The sequence below is a fragment of the Homo sapiens genome, chromosome 8 (assembly GCF_000001405.40).
Source record: "Homo sapiens chromosome 8, GRCh38.p14 Primary Assembly".
NCBI lineage: Eukaryota > Metazoa > Chordata > Mammalia > Primates > Hominidae > Homo > Homo sapiens.
This window is the reverse complement of record NC_000008.11, coordinates 9,903,976-9,919,127: the sequence shown is the minus strand read 5'-3', so window position 1 is coordinate 9,919,127 and position 15,152 is coordinate 9,903,976. Positions and strand designations below refer to the sequence as shown.

Sequence of the window (15,152 nt, the reverse complement as noted above, 5' to 3'; positions counted from 1 at the left end):
AGCAGAAGCATCGAGTCACAAGGAGGATGAGGTTCTAGCCCAGAAGCAGCTGGGCTATGTCATTCTAAAGGTGGTGAGTAAAATGGCTATTCACTGGGGCATCAGGTTTTCTTTCATGCTATTTCCCTGAGTGGAGAATCTGGGTCTAGAAGGGGGTGTGTGTGTGTGTGTGTGTGTGTGTGTGTGTGTGTGTGTGTGATGGTACACATGTATGGCACTTACATTTTCACTGAGCAGCAATACTTGCAAAGCTGTGAGTGCAATAACTAAACAGATCATGGTGTTTTCAAGCGGGAAGGGGTCAGAAATCACGTATTCAACCCCCTTGTTTCACAGAAGAGGATTCTGAGGTTCAGAGAGGTAAAGCCGTGAGATTACAAAGCTTGTAAGTGGCCACCTCTAGAACCCAGTGCTCCGATTCCTGGTACAGGATTCTTCCTATTGCTCTACATGGGTGAGCAGTGACTGCCTGTGTGCCAAGTGACCTGTGTCCCCGGGTATGAGACTGAAACCTGCATTTGCAGCATTAGTGTCACTGAGACACGTCTCGATGTTTCCAGTAAACATGGGAAGCCATTTCTGACTAACTGCAACCTGGGGTGCCGCAGCAAAACAGCAGCACGTGTTTGCTATAAAGTGCTCCATCCTAATGGCTACCTCCTCCCCCGAGGTTATTCTCCAGGTCACGTTGCAAACAAAGTGTATACGGCACCAGCAATTCTTCCCAGCAGAGTCAAGTGGGCTGTTGATAGGGCTGGAGAGTGTGTTTCATCAATGATATCCTCCTTTTCTTGCAACAAGTATTTGCTGAACACCACCCATATGCCAGGTTGTGTGCAAGCCACTGTCACGTTCTTTATGTTATTTAAAGCTCACCATGCTTTGCGAGGTATTACTATGCATACCTGACCAGGAAGCAGACTGAGCCTAGGTAAGGTTAAACAGTGCAAGCTATTTGAGGTCTCTTAAAAATTTCTAGTTTCCCTAAGAATTATGGTTTTAAAACAGTTATTTTCCATGATCTTCCTTACTAGAATCGCCATTGCTCCTAAACTGGAAGGGGATGTTCTTTCCTTAACAAAAAGCAATTATCTGCAACACTTTGGATCAGATGTGCAGTCAGAGAAGGGAAAATGACATTGAACACTGGAGACCTTGACTCTCAGTTAGCAACTGCGTGAGCTTTTGAGGTTTTCTCCAGTTTTTCTCCCATTTCTCTGGGTTCTCTTTCAAGTTAAGATTGCACAATATGTTCAGGAATCTTGGCTTTTTAAACCGGCTCTACCCCTAATTATGTGATCTTGAATAAGTCACTCTACTTATTTGGGTCTCAGCCTTCTCACTGACAAACTGACGACTAAAAGAAAATGATCTCCATCCTCCCTTCAAGCACTGAAATGTATACGTAGGCATTCACTCATTCACTCACTCAAGCATTATCTTGCGTTTCCATGACATGCTAGATGTGACACTGGTGGTGGAAGGATTTTAGAAATAACCTCCCCCAGCCCCACACCCTTCAGCTCTGGAGAGGTTATTTGCCAACAGTTATAGTTCCAGTCAAGCCCCATCAAAACTGCCCAGCATGCGTTCCAGGAACTAATCATTAGTTCAAATCATTCAGAGTTGGGAAAAAATTTACTGTGTCCCTCTGCTGGCTCTAAATGATTTAAATTCTCGTTCCTCTTGCCATTTCCTATATTAACATTTATTCAGTGCGTAGTCAATAAAACACAGTGCCAGGCACTATGTTAAGCAGTTTTCATGCATTACGTCATTTAATCCTGACAATAATCCTATTCAGTACATAATATGATTAGCCCTGATTTACAGATGAAGAAACTGGCAACTTGACCAAAGTTGCATAGTCAAAAAAAAAAAAAAAAAAAAAAAAAAAAAAAAGCAGTGGGGATAGGGTTTCTGTTTGGGATGATAAAAAAATGTTCTGGAAATGGATGGTGGTGGTGGTTGCACCACATGTGAGTATATTTAAGGCCACTGAATTATACAATTTAAAAAGGTTAGGATGGCAAATGTCATGTATATTTTACCACAAAAAAAGAAAAATGTAGTGGGGGAACTTCAGCCCAGATTAGCACCCAACTCCAAAATCACCTACCCTACCCTTAACCACTCCTCAGCCAGTGCTACCAGACAGGACTCAGAACTCAGAAATAGAGTAGGTGCCTCTACAAAACCAACAGCTGAAGGGATGTGTTTCCTCTCCAAAGAAGGGCTTAAGAAATTTTTCTTTCAATTATTCTTTCTTTTTTCTTTAGTTTCTTAGCCACAAAATCATGGCCCACACATCAGGAAAGCCCTCCTTGCCGCTGAAGGTAGCTTATTCCAAACGATCACCAGATTCCCAAGTCTGGGAGAGTCCGAAATCACTTCCACTCTCCTTCTCCCATGTCCTCCTCTCCCTATAAGCCGAAGCTCTGTCTACAAACTCAATTCCACTTCAAACACATCTAGATGCCAGGTCGCTATTTTGCATGAGGTCCTGGCTTACATGTTGTGGGGGAGCAGAGATGAGAAAGATACCGTTTCTACCTCAAAGACTTTACAATCTAGCATAAAGGGCAAAATACGCAAATAGCTACGGAAGGAGAAAAGTCATTCAGTAAAATTGCAGAGCACCTGGGCTAGATGTGAAGGCTGCAGAGAGGAAGAACACACCAAGCTAGTCCCCTGCAAAGAGAACACAGAGTCAGTGAGAAGGGCCCTCAGAGGAAAGGCGACAATCAGCTGAGAGGGAAAGATACTTGCAGTGGAGGATGTTTCTCCTCATCAATAAAGCAGCTATGGTCTTTTTCAGGTGGTATTAGGATCGAAATCTCACCATCTTTTCCCCTTTTTTTCTTCCTACCTTTCTATTTCTCCTTCTCTTTTTTTTTTTTAGGCTTAACCTGTTCTTTTTTTAACTTCTTTTGTTGAACACTTAAATCTTCAATCTTTAGTCTTTCTTCTTTACTAATATAAGTATTTTAAGACTGTCAGTTCTCCTCTGAGTGTTACTATAACTCCATGACACAAAGTTTTAAAATGTAGTCATTAAATTAATTAATCAAGAATTTACAATATAATTTCTTTTTGGAATTATGAGTTATTTAGAAATGTCTTTCCCTCCACCCCCAGATTTATGGGGAGAAGTATGTGATTTGGGGGGAGGGTTAATTATTTCTAACAAAATTATATTGTAGTCAAATGACACGGTTTGTATGATGTGACATCACAGATTTGTTGAGACTACTTTAGTGGGCTAGAACACAATCAAGTTTTATAAATGTCCCACATATGCTCAAAAAAATGTGATTGTTTTAATTATTGAGAAGAAAAATTCCAAATGTGTCTGTTAGAGTACGTTTGATAGTTGTGTTGTTCCAATCTTTTATATCTTTTCCAATTTGTCATTTTCTCTCCAATGTTGCTTCTATTTTTTGCTTTTCTATTTTGAAGCTATGTTTCTAGGGGCATACAAGTTTAGAGTTGTTCTCCTAAGTAGTTTTTCTTTTTCATTGTTTATTATATACAGCCCATCTTTGTCACCAATAATGTTTATTGTCTTCCAGTCTATTTTATCTAACATTAGCAAACTGTATCAGCTTTCTTTTGATTAGTGTTTACTTATCATTACTTTTCCATCATTTTTGTTTCATGTTTTTGATGAATCTCTTGTAAACAGCATATAGCTAGATTTTCTTTCTGACCTAGCTATATTTATTTCCTTTAAGCTCTATGAGGCAATTAAAATGATACTCTAATATCTTGTCTAAAATTTTTAGCTACTAATTTCCAGGAGGTTGTCAGGCTTCTTATTGCCAGAAATGAAGGGTTTTGGACCCTATTTTTCAGAAGCTTCATAAGTATTTTTTTGACATTCTGTCCCTTAGGATGTTAAAAACTGGAACTTTCCCTCATTCAGCCTGTGTTGTTCCATCACATCAAAAAAGCTCTTAATTTCATCTTGTCTCTCCCAGACATCTCCAAAGAATTTCACATTTATATCTAAATTCTTCTCTTTTTCTTCTTGTAATGGTTCATGCTAATACATTGTACCAGCAATGGAATGATGATAAAGTGGCTACTGTGGGGTGTACTTCCTTGAAAACAGACATTAACTTTAAGTATCAGGTCCCCCAAAGGAAAGAGAGTTTCTTAGACCTTTGGAAAACATGATGACAATCAGCCTCTTCTGCTAAACTATCACCCACAAAACATCAGGGAACTTCTCTGGCTTTTATCAAGAATAAAGCCAATGATACTAACAGCCTTTATTTGCCAATGGCTGCCTTTTTCTTTTCTTTCTTTCTTTCTTTCTTTCTTTTTTTTTTTTTAAGGTAAAAAATATCTTCAGCTAATATTTGTTGAGCACGTCCCAGGACATGGCACTGTGTTAAGTATTTCTTTATGCACTGTGTCATTGTATTCTGACAATGACTCTAACATAGGTGTAACTATTACCTCTCTTCAAGGGAAGCTCTAAACGTTTGGGGTTCTAGCAGGGCCGGGCTAAGGCTGGGTGAAAAAGAAAGGCAACAGACTCTCCAAGTTACCTCAGCATAAAACTCTACCTCTTCTCACCGGTCCCTTCCTCTGGCTTCCTGCGAGGTCGTGCAGTGCTTTTGTTTTTGATTTCTAGCTACCTAATCAATAACTCTGCGGCCTTGGGCTAGGAAGATACTTCACTTCTCTGGACCTCAATTTCCTCACCTGCCAGCTCTAAGATTCTCTCTGGTCTCCCACCACCCCACACACAGTGGGGTCAAGACCGCCAATCAGCTGAGAAAGTCAATGTCCCCCGCTCCTGTTCAAGCTCCATTTCTGTAGGAGTTTCTAAAACCCTGCCTCAGGATTTTAAAAGCTCCTCCTGGAATTCTGAAAGGAGCGGTAGCAGTGCCTCCCCATTTCCTTATGTGCTGTTCTGACAGTGCTTGTCCAGTCATATGGTGGGTCAAAGATGGGATCGATATGAAATAATCTTTCCCCGGGCTTCCGTCTGGCTCAGGCTGGGGCCAGCCATGGACCACACAGGCTGGAGAACGGCATGGAGCATGGCAGTTCACTGCTGGCCCCTGCCGGCTCTTCTTCTGGGGCTGGGAACCACTGACAGGAGCTGCAGTCCTCAGGCTCACCTTGGTCCACCAATTTTTTTTTTCTTTTTTTTTTGTTTGAGATGGAGTCTTGCTCTGTCGCCCAGGCTGGAGTGCAGTGGCGTGATTTCACCTCATTGCAACCTCCGCCTCCCGGATTCAAGCAATTCTCCCTGCCTCAGCCTCTCGAGTAGCTCACTTTGGTCCATCCTTTAGAGAAGAGGCAGAAAGATGGAGAAACACAAAATTGGGATTCACTGGGTGTTCTCTCAGTAAACGACAGCCCTATGGTGTCGAGACTATCATTGTCCCCATACTGCACATGGAAAACTGGCCCAAATCACCGAGGAGGTAGGGCCTGGAGCTGGGATGTGGATTCTCATCTGTCTCGGCTCTGAGACCCATGCTTGTTCTCTCACAGGGTGTCGCGTCTACAGCAGAAGGGGCCAAGGAGCCACACAAAACCAGCACCGTTTCAGCATTGCCCAGAAGGCATCCGCTGTCTCCCCCAAACATCCATGGCTCATCTGCTTAGGGGTTCTCAAAATGTTAACTGATGGTCCGGCCTTTTAAAAATTCCCTTAAGAGAGTAAACATAGTCAGGTGCCAGTTGCTGAGTCGAGATCTTGCCCTACAAGCAGATTGGCTGAGGAGTCCGGAGGGATCCTCATGAAGGGGGAGCAGGAAACAGAACAAAGAGGAAGGTGGAGCAACAGGGTAGGCAGAAAGAGCCCCTCCACTCTTCATTTACCTGGGAGGGAATAATTTAGCCCAAAGTTTCTGTCTGTGGCAAACCTAGAACTAGAATCCAGGTCTCCTGCCTCCCAGGCCAGCAGTCCCACACCACATAGCGTTTTGCCAGCGTGCTGGCTCCTTTATTGGACAGGGAACTCTCTTGCTAATCTTCTAGTTGTAGACAAATGACTAGTAAGGAATTTGTAATGAACGCCATCTTTTCCTGTCCCCCGGCAGCTCCATCATTTCGAAGAAAAAATATATATATTAAACAGAGAAGCAAATCCCACAAAAATGAAGTTCCCATCATTTAGAAAAAAATTTCTTCCTGCTTTTTCTATCCCTTGTGTTCTGTTGTTTACTATCAACTCAGGGTATCTGCCCAGGCACCAAAAACCAGGGAACATCTTTGCCAAGCAGGGCGTCTTGCCTTACCAGCCCGGCTTTAGGGGAGACTGGAAACAGGATTATCATCCAGAAATACATTCATCCTGATTTACAGCCTGCCACCCCAAGAATTTCTCCGGGCAATGTGCCCCCAAACGGGCTGCTAAGTCCTCAATTTCCCAACCTCCCTTTTCCGCCCCAACCCAGGTGGCCAAACGCTGTGACTGTTAGGATGCTGTTTAAATGCAGAATGCTATTATCACTATATATCATTCCGATCGGCTTTCTAGGTCGTACTGAGGATATCAGAATGATGCAAGGCAACATTTTTATTATTTAGGATACAGTATACTAAGTTTATGTTGATTACTCTGAGTATCATCTTTGAAAGATAACTAGCATTAAAGTGTTGATAATGTTCCACTTTTGCAATCATATTTGCATAGTGTACAACAGAGTTTAGCAGGAAAAAAACGATCTTAAGTGATGTTTTTCATCTGCTCTGTCAGCCTCACCCTACTTATTTCAACTTGGTACATGAGGCAGGACAAATACTTAGCATCCTTTATATCAGCTTTACATTATATAATGTTATTCTTGTTCCTTCTGGGAAGACTTCAGCATGCAGTTGTAATGGAAAAAGGAGAGTCTTTGGGGCCAGTTATATCTGGATCCCAATGCCAGCTTCTGCACTTGAGAAAGTCACCTCTTTGTAACATGGGGTTAGTGTGGATCTGAGATTGTAGATAATATAAGAAAAACATCTAACTAGCCCTGTGGCTGGCATGGAGCTGCCATACAGTGGCCCTTTGTCTTACGTACAATGTTTTTAAATGCCTAGTTACCGCACTTTGAAATTAAAGATTGAAAGTAAGCCAATGTTCCCCACACTGTACTTCCAGCTGACGACACTCTCGCCTCCCAGCAGAGTTATATATGCAGATAATCTGTTTGATGCTGCTGAACACAGAAGGGACACTGATTTTATTTTATGAACAATAGTTAAATGTCTCCTGAGTGTCGGCTACTGGGAAATAAATATTCTAGATTTCATCTCTTCATTCATTCATTACAAACAAGCTATCCTGCAAACGACCCCCTCATTCTTCCTTTTTCCTTTTTCCATCTCCTTTTTTTTTTCTGTTACAATCCCCCAGGCCTACCACAGTCTTTTTGCCCAATTAGATGCTATTTTTCTTTTTTGTCTTGTCACCACCTAATGTCCAAATTTATTTAAATCATCCTCAGACACAAACCTACAAGATCTGAGTCACATTTGAGGGGTTTTTTCCCCCTTCTAACTTGTCAGCTGCCTCATTTATGATTGACAAGATTTCCATTTCAGTCATCGCTACTAATTCTGCTTCAAATCTGTATATTTAATGAACACACCAATCGGCACTTCATTATTAGTCAAGGCCATTTTGTCAAGTGTAATCCTCTGATTTTATAATGTATAGTACATGGTAGCTGCTTCTAAATGAAATTCAAAGAAAGCCTTGTCCAGTTTGCATTATAACAATATCTGGCATCTGAATACGAGCACTCCATCCTCTGCATGGTCTCATGCTTTATGCATATAGAACATCGTTTTCATGCTCCCATCAGACTCAAACACAAGCAAGTCTTTTCTCCTTGTAAAGGTATGTTGAATTGTATATCTCTGCACAAAGAGGAAAAGAAAAGCAGTTTGCCTGCACCAAAACACAGTCCAAGTTCTCTAAGGCAAACACAATCTGACACATGCTAAAAATTGCCTGAAGCACTGGTGAGTTATAGTTCGCCTCCCTGGGGCAGATAATTCATTAAGAAATAGCCTCATGCCCTATGTAGCAACTGAACAAAAATATTTACTTGTGGTAATATCAGATGATAAGGGTAACAGGGTTCCTTTCGGAACAAGGAGGGGAGAGGGAACCCCTGCAGTAGATGCCCATCATGAGCATTGCAAATGAATCATTAGCCTTCATCCTGCAATCTAGGTCAGGATGGGCGCTAAAGAGGAGGGCTTTTAAATCTGCTGCAGGACTCAGGTTGAATCTGCTTAGGTGAAAACACAGAAAGCATTCAGTTATGCTGTGCCGGGCGCACTGAGGGGAATAGAAAAATGCTTTCACCTGATAGAAAGACCTTTTCCTGACCCAGAGGGTAATCAGAAATAAAGATGGCGATACTTTCAGATGAATGCCACTTAAATGCATGCGCCCACACACACACACTCTCTCTCTCTCTCTCTCTTTCTCTCTCTGTCTCTACTTTTCTCAAAGCTTTCCATGTTCAACTTTTCAGACCCTGAACACAATGTCTGCCAGATAGATTTTAAAAGGGAGGCAATATCTTCCAGACTCAGAAACGTGGATTCTGTTGAAAAACAATAGAATCACACACTGTTCGTGTTGAAAGGGACTTTAGAAATCATTTACTCATGTTGAGGAAGAGGATAGAAAACAAGGAAAGTGACTTACTTGCACAAGATCACACACGTGTCCGAGACCACAGCTTATTTTTCTTTTGGGTCTTTTAAAAAATATATTCCTTTTTTGTGCAATATGAATAATTTATTAAGTAATCCAGAAACAAAACAAATTGACGTGGTGACTGTCACCTGATAGACTGAATTTGTGTCGCAGACTCTTGCCCCCAAAATGACTGTGAAAGAACACTATGTTTTCCATAGCTGTGTCTTGGGCTGGGGGAGTCCTTCCTCAGAACCCCAGTCCTAGCTTTAACGTGATTATTTTCTAGACACGTTGTGGCTCTTAAGTCACTGGGTCAAAGGCTCTGACACTTCTGTGTGGCTCTTGCCCTATCCATCCAGGGTCACAAGAGGTTGGCTGGGTGTGTTTTCCTAAATACCTCCTGAAATATTGCTAAAACTAGAGACATTTAAATAGAAAAAAACTCAAATTTCAAAATTCAACCCAAGCTAAACACTACATGAACACACTAGGGTCCACTATTTGTTTTATTTGCCAAAATCTTTAGGAAGCTTTTCATGTTCAAATACATGAGGAAAAAATACATACTGGCAAGAAATGAAGAGACTCAGGTTTTGCTCTTAACTTCACCACTGAAATTGCTACAAACCACCCACATGATCTCTAGAAGCTCTTTTTCCGTCTCTCTGGGCCCTGCTCTACTCTTTTATAGTAGTAAGGGGGGCACCAAATGATCTCCAGGGTTCCATCATTAGTTATGCTATGCAAATAATACCTCCAAAATTGTTTTTTTAAAGACACAGTAACTGCAGAACTCTCTGTAGCTATTTCCAAAAACGTGAACTGACATTCAAGGAACACAAAAACACTTCAGTACCTGCTACTGTACATAAAGGTTTCAAATGAGGGAGTTTCAATATTGAAAGAATTTTCCAAAACAATGTTGACTGACTTGGACTAAAAGCTTATGTATCTAACCATCTAACCACTATTTTCCCCTCATTTCACTTTCCAGATTGATTTGTGAGAGTTTTTTTCTCTCTCTTTTTCTCTGTCTCCCTTATTTTTAAAACATTTGTTAAGGCCTGGAGAGACTGCAAGGGGTTATGCACAAACAGATAAGTAAGAACAAGCCCGGTCTTATCTAGACTGAGCATTGCACTAGGAACAGAGTTTTGTATCCCGCTTCTCCAGCCACCACCACTGAAAGGTTATAGAATATTCTATTTCAGGACACCTTTAAAAACGAGAAGCGCATTTAAAAGTACTGCAGAATGTTATTTTGATTTCTGCCACAGAATGAATCACTCCTCCTGAATGCAAACACCAGCAAAGAATGCGTTAGAGGATCCGCCATCATATTAAAAATTAAATCCGGCCGCATTTCATAATGGGCTTTCCTTTTTAAAGCACGGTTTCATCTTCTCACCATGGAAATTACACTCTGATGGCTGTTCTTTATGGTTAACACAGGCATCGGCTGAGGTCAGAACCCTGCTTCTCTGAACAGGGAACCACAAATGTCACTGACACATGGTACGCTTGGCAAATAATATATTTCTTTCCTGTGTCTTCAGTTTGTCTAACGTCATGCTTGTGGTAAGCTAAAGAGAGTTTATTTCTCGGGTTGTCCTTCCTTCCTTTGGTGGGACCAGCGGGAGGCACGCAATATACAATGAATTCAAAAGTGCATCTCTTTTGATTTTTGTTGTTGTCTTTATTTTAACCTCCAAGAAGTGAGAGATTTAACTCAGTCTTCACCCCAGGCTAAGCTAATACTTAGGTCATGTCTGAGCTCTCTGGGGAACCCTCGCTTTATACCATCGGAAGGGCAATGATGTCTTTTCACGTGGAGCAGCACAGCTGTCCGGCCATATGGGCCCCAAACAGCCCAGTCAATCGGATTTGGGGAGGTTTTACAATATAATTTCTTAACATGTTAGTATTTGGGGTGAGTTTGATCAGGAGCATAGACTACTCTTAAGCCCAAAGGTTTAGGTTTTAAGAAGCCATCACAAATGTCCCAGCATCCGATCAGGCTGGTTAAAAAGAGATATGAAATCCGTGACTGGGGGAGGGGAAAGGACTTCTGACCCCCTGGTTGGAGCAAGCCCCAGGGGTATGCTCTAACTATTAATTCAGCATCAGCTGCTTTTTTTTTTTTTTTTTTTTTTTTGTCTTTTTCTTTTCTTTTTTAACCCGGGGCTCATCATTTAAGGCGTTCCCACTCAGGCCTGCAGAGCCTGTTACAAAACCATTCTCTCCTCCCCTCCCCCCATGCCGCAAGATGAGCGGCAAATACCCTGCATTGCAGCAACGGCGAGGAGGGACTGCCAGAAACCGTCCTCAATCTAAACAAAACCAGGCCTTTAAGAAACACTACGGAAAAGGGAGCAGCAGCGTGTCCTACTGTCCTTCAGTCCAGGCCAACTCGGGTCACGGCCCCATCCCTCCATATACAAGGAGTTCCGAAACTATCTGCGAAAGGAATTCTTAGTGAATAGGAAACAAATTGTCCTGAAGCTAAAAACCCTTATCAAAATGGTGGGAGTCTTGAACCAAGCCACTGCCAGTGTAGTTTTTCCACCACAAAAGTATTTTAGTTTGAGGGAAACGTTATCAGAATGGTAAGTTTTTCCCTGAAAGACAGCCCAAATGATGGCTTTTTCCAATCAGGCATGGTCTTCAGAAATTAAACATCAGTTGCAGGCAATGGTTTATTTCTTATTTTTCTTCTTCTTTTTTCTTCTTCTCCTCCTCTTCCCCCTCCTCCTCCTCTTCCTCTTTTTTCCTTCTCTCTCTGATTAAACCAAAGCTTTCTGCTTCTTGAAATTCACAAAAACTGCTTCTTTTCTAAGCTTCTAGTGGTGCATTGTTGGAAGCAAAGGCTAGTGCTGAAAGGGTTTGAGATCGCCATTCTACTTATATTGGGACAAACACCCAATAATTGACAAGAGCCGAAATGGCCTCGAAGCGAGAAGGGCCTCGCCCGGGTCACCCTTCGTGCAGCCACTCCTGCTGGGTGGGCGCCTCTGCTGCGACCCTCGCGGGCTGTGTGGTTTCAGCAGGGCTGCTTTTAGCTGGCGGGGCTTGTTCTCCCCATCTCTAGTTGCCCTGAATCCAGCAGTGCCCAAGAAACACTTAGACCTCTCTCTCTCTCTCCCTCTCTCCCTCACTCACTCTCTTTTAAGTCATCAGAGAAGAAAAGCCGGAGTAGGGGAAGCAGATGGGCCCTGCGTGTGCGTGAACCGCGCGGGTCAGGGCTGCCCCTCGTGGCTGAGGCACTGACCCCTTGGAAAGTCCGAAGGTTTCTCATGGCAGGCGTTGGGTTATGGTTGGGGGGCTGGGGCGGGGGGTCGTCTTTAGTTTGGCTCTTATAGGCGGATTCATTCTGAGTCATTCCTGAAGGCCAAGCTCACCCTGTGCTCCCGGAAAGACACAAACACCGCCACGGCCACCACAACAAAAGGCGCCTCCCCGAAGTAGGTCTGATGTCCGCGGGACGGGTGGGCCCGTCGTGGAGCGCACTTCTGCGCCTCTAATCTCGGGCGTCCATCTGGCCCGGGCGCGCTGGAGGGCTCCGGGAGGGGCGGGGCCGCGCGCCTCCCAGGCGCGGGCACGCGCGCCGGCTCTCCTTCATGTTCACCTTGACTGCGGGGGGGCGGGGGATGGGGCGATCGTCCCCCTCTCCCCGACTCCTCTCCCAACCCCCCGCAGCTGTCCTGCCCAGACGCCCGCCCAGGCGGGGTGGGGGAGGCTGCACCGGCGCTCAGGTCGCCGCAGCGGCCCGGCAGCCGCCGCAGTGATGTCAACCGCATCCGCCGCAGTCCCCGGCAGCCCTAAAACGCGCCGCGGCCCGCGGAAACCCCAGCCCGGCTCCTCCCGCCAGGGCCGAGGAGGAGAGGACGCGCGGGTCCCCGGAGTCCCCCACTCCGTCTGCCTAAGCCGTGGAGACCGGGAGTGGACGCACGGCGGTGCCTGGACCCCCGGGGAGGTGGAAGAAGAGGAGAGGGAAGGGAGCTGTGGAGTCAGGTGTCGATTTGACGCCCGCGGCCGCCGAGGGGACTCTGCCCGGCACTGGTGCCGCCTGGGGGGCGTTCAGGGAGCGTGGGGCGCCGACCGCTGCAGATGCGGCGGCGCGCGTGGGCTCGGGCAGGCGCCCCCTTTTCCCGGGATAGAAACGGATAAACGGAAGCGCGTGTGAGTGTGGGGGTGCGAATCGCCACCTCCGGCCTTGGCTTTCCCGCTCTTCCGAGCTCTCCCACTTCTCACTTTCCCCAAATCCGCATTTTCCTTGGCACAGCTCTCCCCGAGCACGAAGGAGAGGGAGGTACCCGGGGGCAGTGAGAATGACGTGTGCTGGTGCAGAGGGGGTGGGGGTCTGCGGGCCTGGATCTGTGGACGGGCTCCTAATCCTCTTGTTTTCGGAACCGTCAGCAGATGCGGCTTCCTTTACCTGAATAATCCTTTAAAGGAGTAATAATTTTTAAAAAGGAGCTCGACCTCAGCCAAAGAGGACGGCGCACGAGATTAGGGCTTGGTAAGGAAAAATTAAAAGGCTCCCAATTCTCTCTGTCCCTCTCTGCCTTCCCCTCTACCCCTCCCCCTCCCTCCTCCACCCTCCCCTCCCCTCCCCCTTCTTCCTCATCCCCTGCAATCCGCGCTCGACGCGAGTTCACGCGAAGGGCTGGATTTCCAGGCGGCTCCGCAACTTGCGCGGCGCGGTGTTATTATTCATCCGAGGGTGCTGCCTCCTCAACCTTTGCCTCCTGCGCCGCTCTCCTTCCCCCGGCCGCCGCCGCCAGCAGTGCAGTCCCTCCGGCACGCATGCTCTGGTTCACCAAGAGGGAGACTGATTTTTTTTAAATCATGCTCATCATCATCATCATCATCATCATCATCATCATCACGTTCCTTATCATGGTTATCATTTCCTCCTGCCAGGTGGAGCGACCACCAGCGCCGGCTCGCCTCCTGCGCCTTCCCCAGCGAAGGCAGCAAGCAGTTCGGGCTTGGCCGTGGCGGCCGCTCCCAGGATGCTTCCTGCACCTCCAGCATCCCCCCCCTTATTCATCTGCCTGTGTATTATCTCGATCCTTTTCATTTCAGTAGATCCACTGCCTTTGGTTGGGCCGGCTGAATCGCTGGGGACTGCGGCCAGTCTCTTAAAAAAGGAGAACAAAAAGCCGAAGACCTTGTGTGGCCGCCGGGACAAAGCACCTTGGGTTCGGCGAGAAGGGACGCGCAGGAGCGCTGAACCCAGAACACGCGTGGCCGCTGCGGAAGGGCGTCCGCCCGGCGTGCGGAACGCTGAGGGTATTCGGATTGTCTTTTATTTGTCCCTGTGGCTTGCTTTCACAGTGTCTACGTAGGAGAGGGGTCGGGGTTGTTGGGGTCTCTTTTTTTTTCTGGGAGGGGTAGCTGAATTGTGGGAGACCTAGGTGGACTTGACTTGGCTTTCCTGCTACTCTGCGTCTCCTTCTCAAGATGCGGGGGTTGGAAAGGGGACAGGGGACTCAAGGCTTAGAAAAGAGAAGGAGCCCTCTGCTGCCTGGAGGGCTAAGGGAGTAGAGAGTGGAGATGGAGGTGAGTAGGGATGGGCCAGCCCGAAGAGCACTGAGGAGGAGAAGGGGTCTTCTCCTCCCTCGGGTCCAGTGGATGAGTTTTGCTGGGAATGAGAATTCGGGTGTCTGTCGATAGGAGCGCTGAGAAATTGATGAGAAATTGACATGTCCGTGCACATGCATGAGGCGGCGACAGGATTTGTGTGTAAACAGTGTGGAGAGGTGGAGGAGGGCATGGGGGTGGGGGCTTAAAATGATGTCTTATTGTCCTTTTGGCTTTAGGGACTCTCATCCTCTGTCTCGCCCCCTTTTTTTGACCCGGGGATCCAGCCGCATTATACACGAGTGACCTTTTAAATCTACGTCCACCCTTTACCTGGTAAAGCCCGCTGACAGTTGGGGGTGGGGTGGGGAGAGTGTAGGGGTGCTCTCTCCCTCTCTCCCTCCCTCCGCCTCTCCTCCCTCCCTCCCCCCTGCACTCCTCTCTCTTCCTCCCTCCCACCTCCCTCGCTCCCGCCCTCCCTGCTGCATTTTGCATGAGCTATCTAGGTCATTAGCATTTTAGCGTATGCAAGACTTGACAAAGCTGATGAGGGGCCAGATGGGCCTCGCTCTTATGGTTTTTTTTTCTTCTTCTTCTTCTTCTTCCTCTCTCTCTCTCTCTCTCTGTCTCTCTCTCTCTCGTCTCTCTTCCTTTCCCCCCTCCACCACTTGGGACCTGAGCGAGAGGACTGCAGCAGGCGAGTTCCGGAAGGCTGAATCCCCAGGTCCCAGCCCCGGACCGCGGCAACTCGCCCCTGCGGCACGCCCGGCCCGGCTGCGCCCCCACTCAGCGATGGAGGTAAAGAGGCGGCGGCCGCGCGCCCTGCCCCGGCTGCCGCTGCCGAGTCCCCGCTGCTCTCCTTGTCCTTCGCTCTCTTCTTCCTCCTCCTAGT

At 46.3% G+C, this 15,152-nt stretch overlaps 1 long non-coding RNA gene across 5 annotated transcripts; it reads left to right on the top strand.

Moving 5' to 3' along the window:
• LOC124902057 (uncharacterized) lies at window positions 1-15,058 on the top strand. 5 transcript variants are annotated; one of them, XR_007061167.1, is made up of 5 exons: window positions 1-73; window positions 13,094-13,193; window positions 13,763-13,969; window positions 14,500-14,596; window positions 14,941-15,058. It is a non-coding gene; the product is annotated as an uncharacterized LOC124902057 (long non-coding RNA). The 5 variants fall into 5 exon arrangements; XR_007061168.1 differs by lacking the exon at window positions 1-73 and adding an exon at window positions 12,583-12,685; XR_007061170.1 differs by lacking the exon at window positions 13,094-13,193 and having other exon boundaries at window positions 13,766-13,969.
• Window positions 15,059-15,152: the final 94 nt, after the last annotated feature.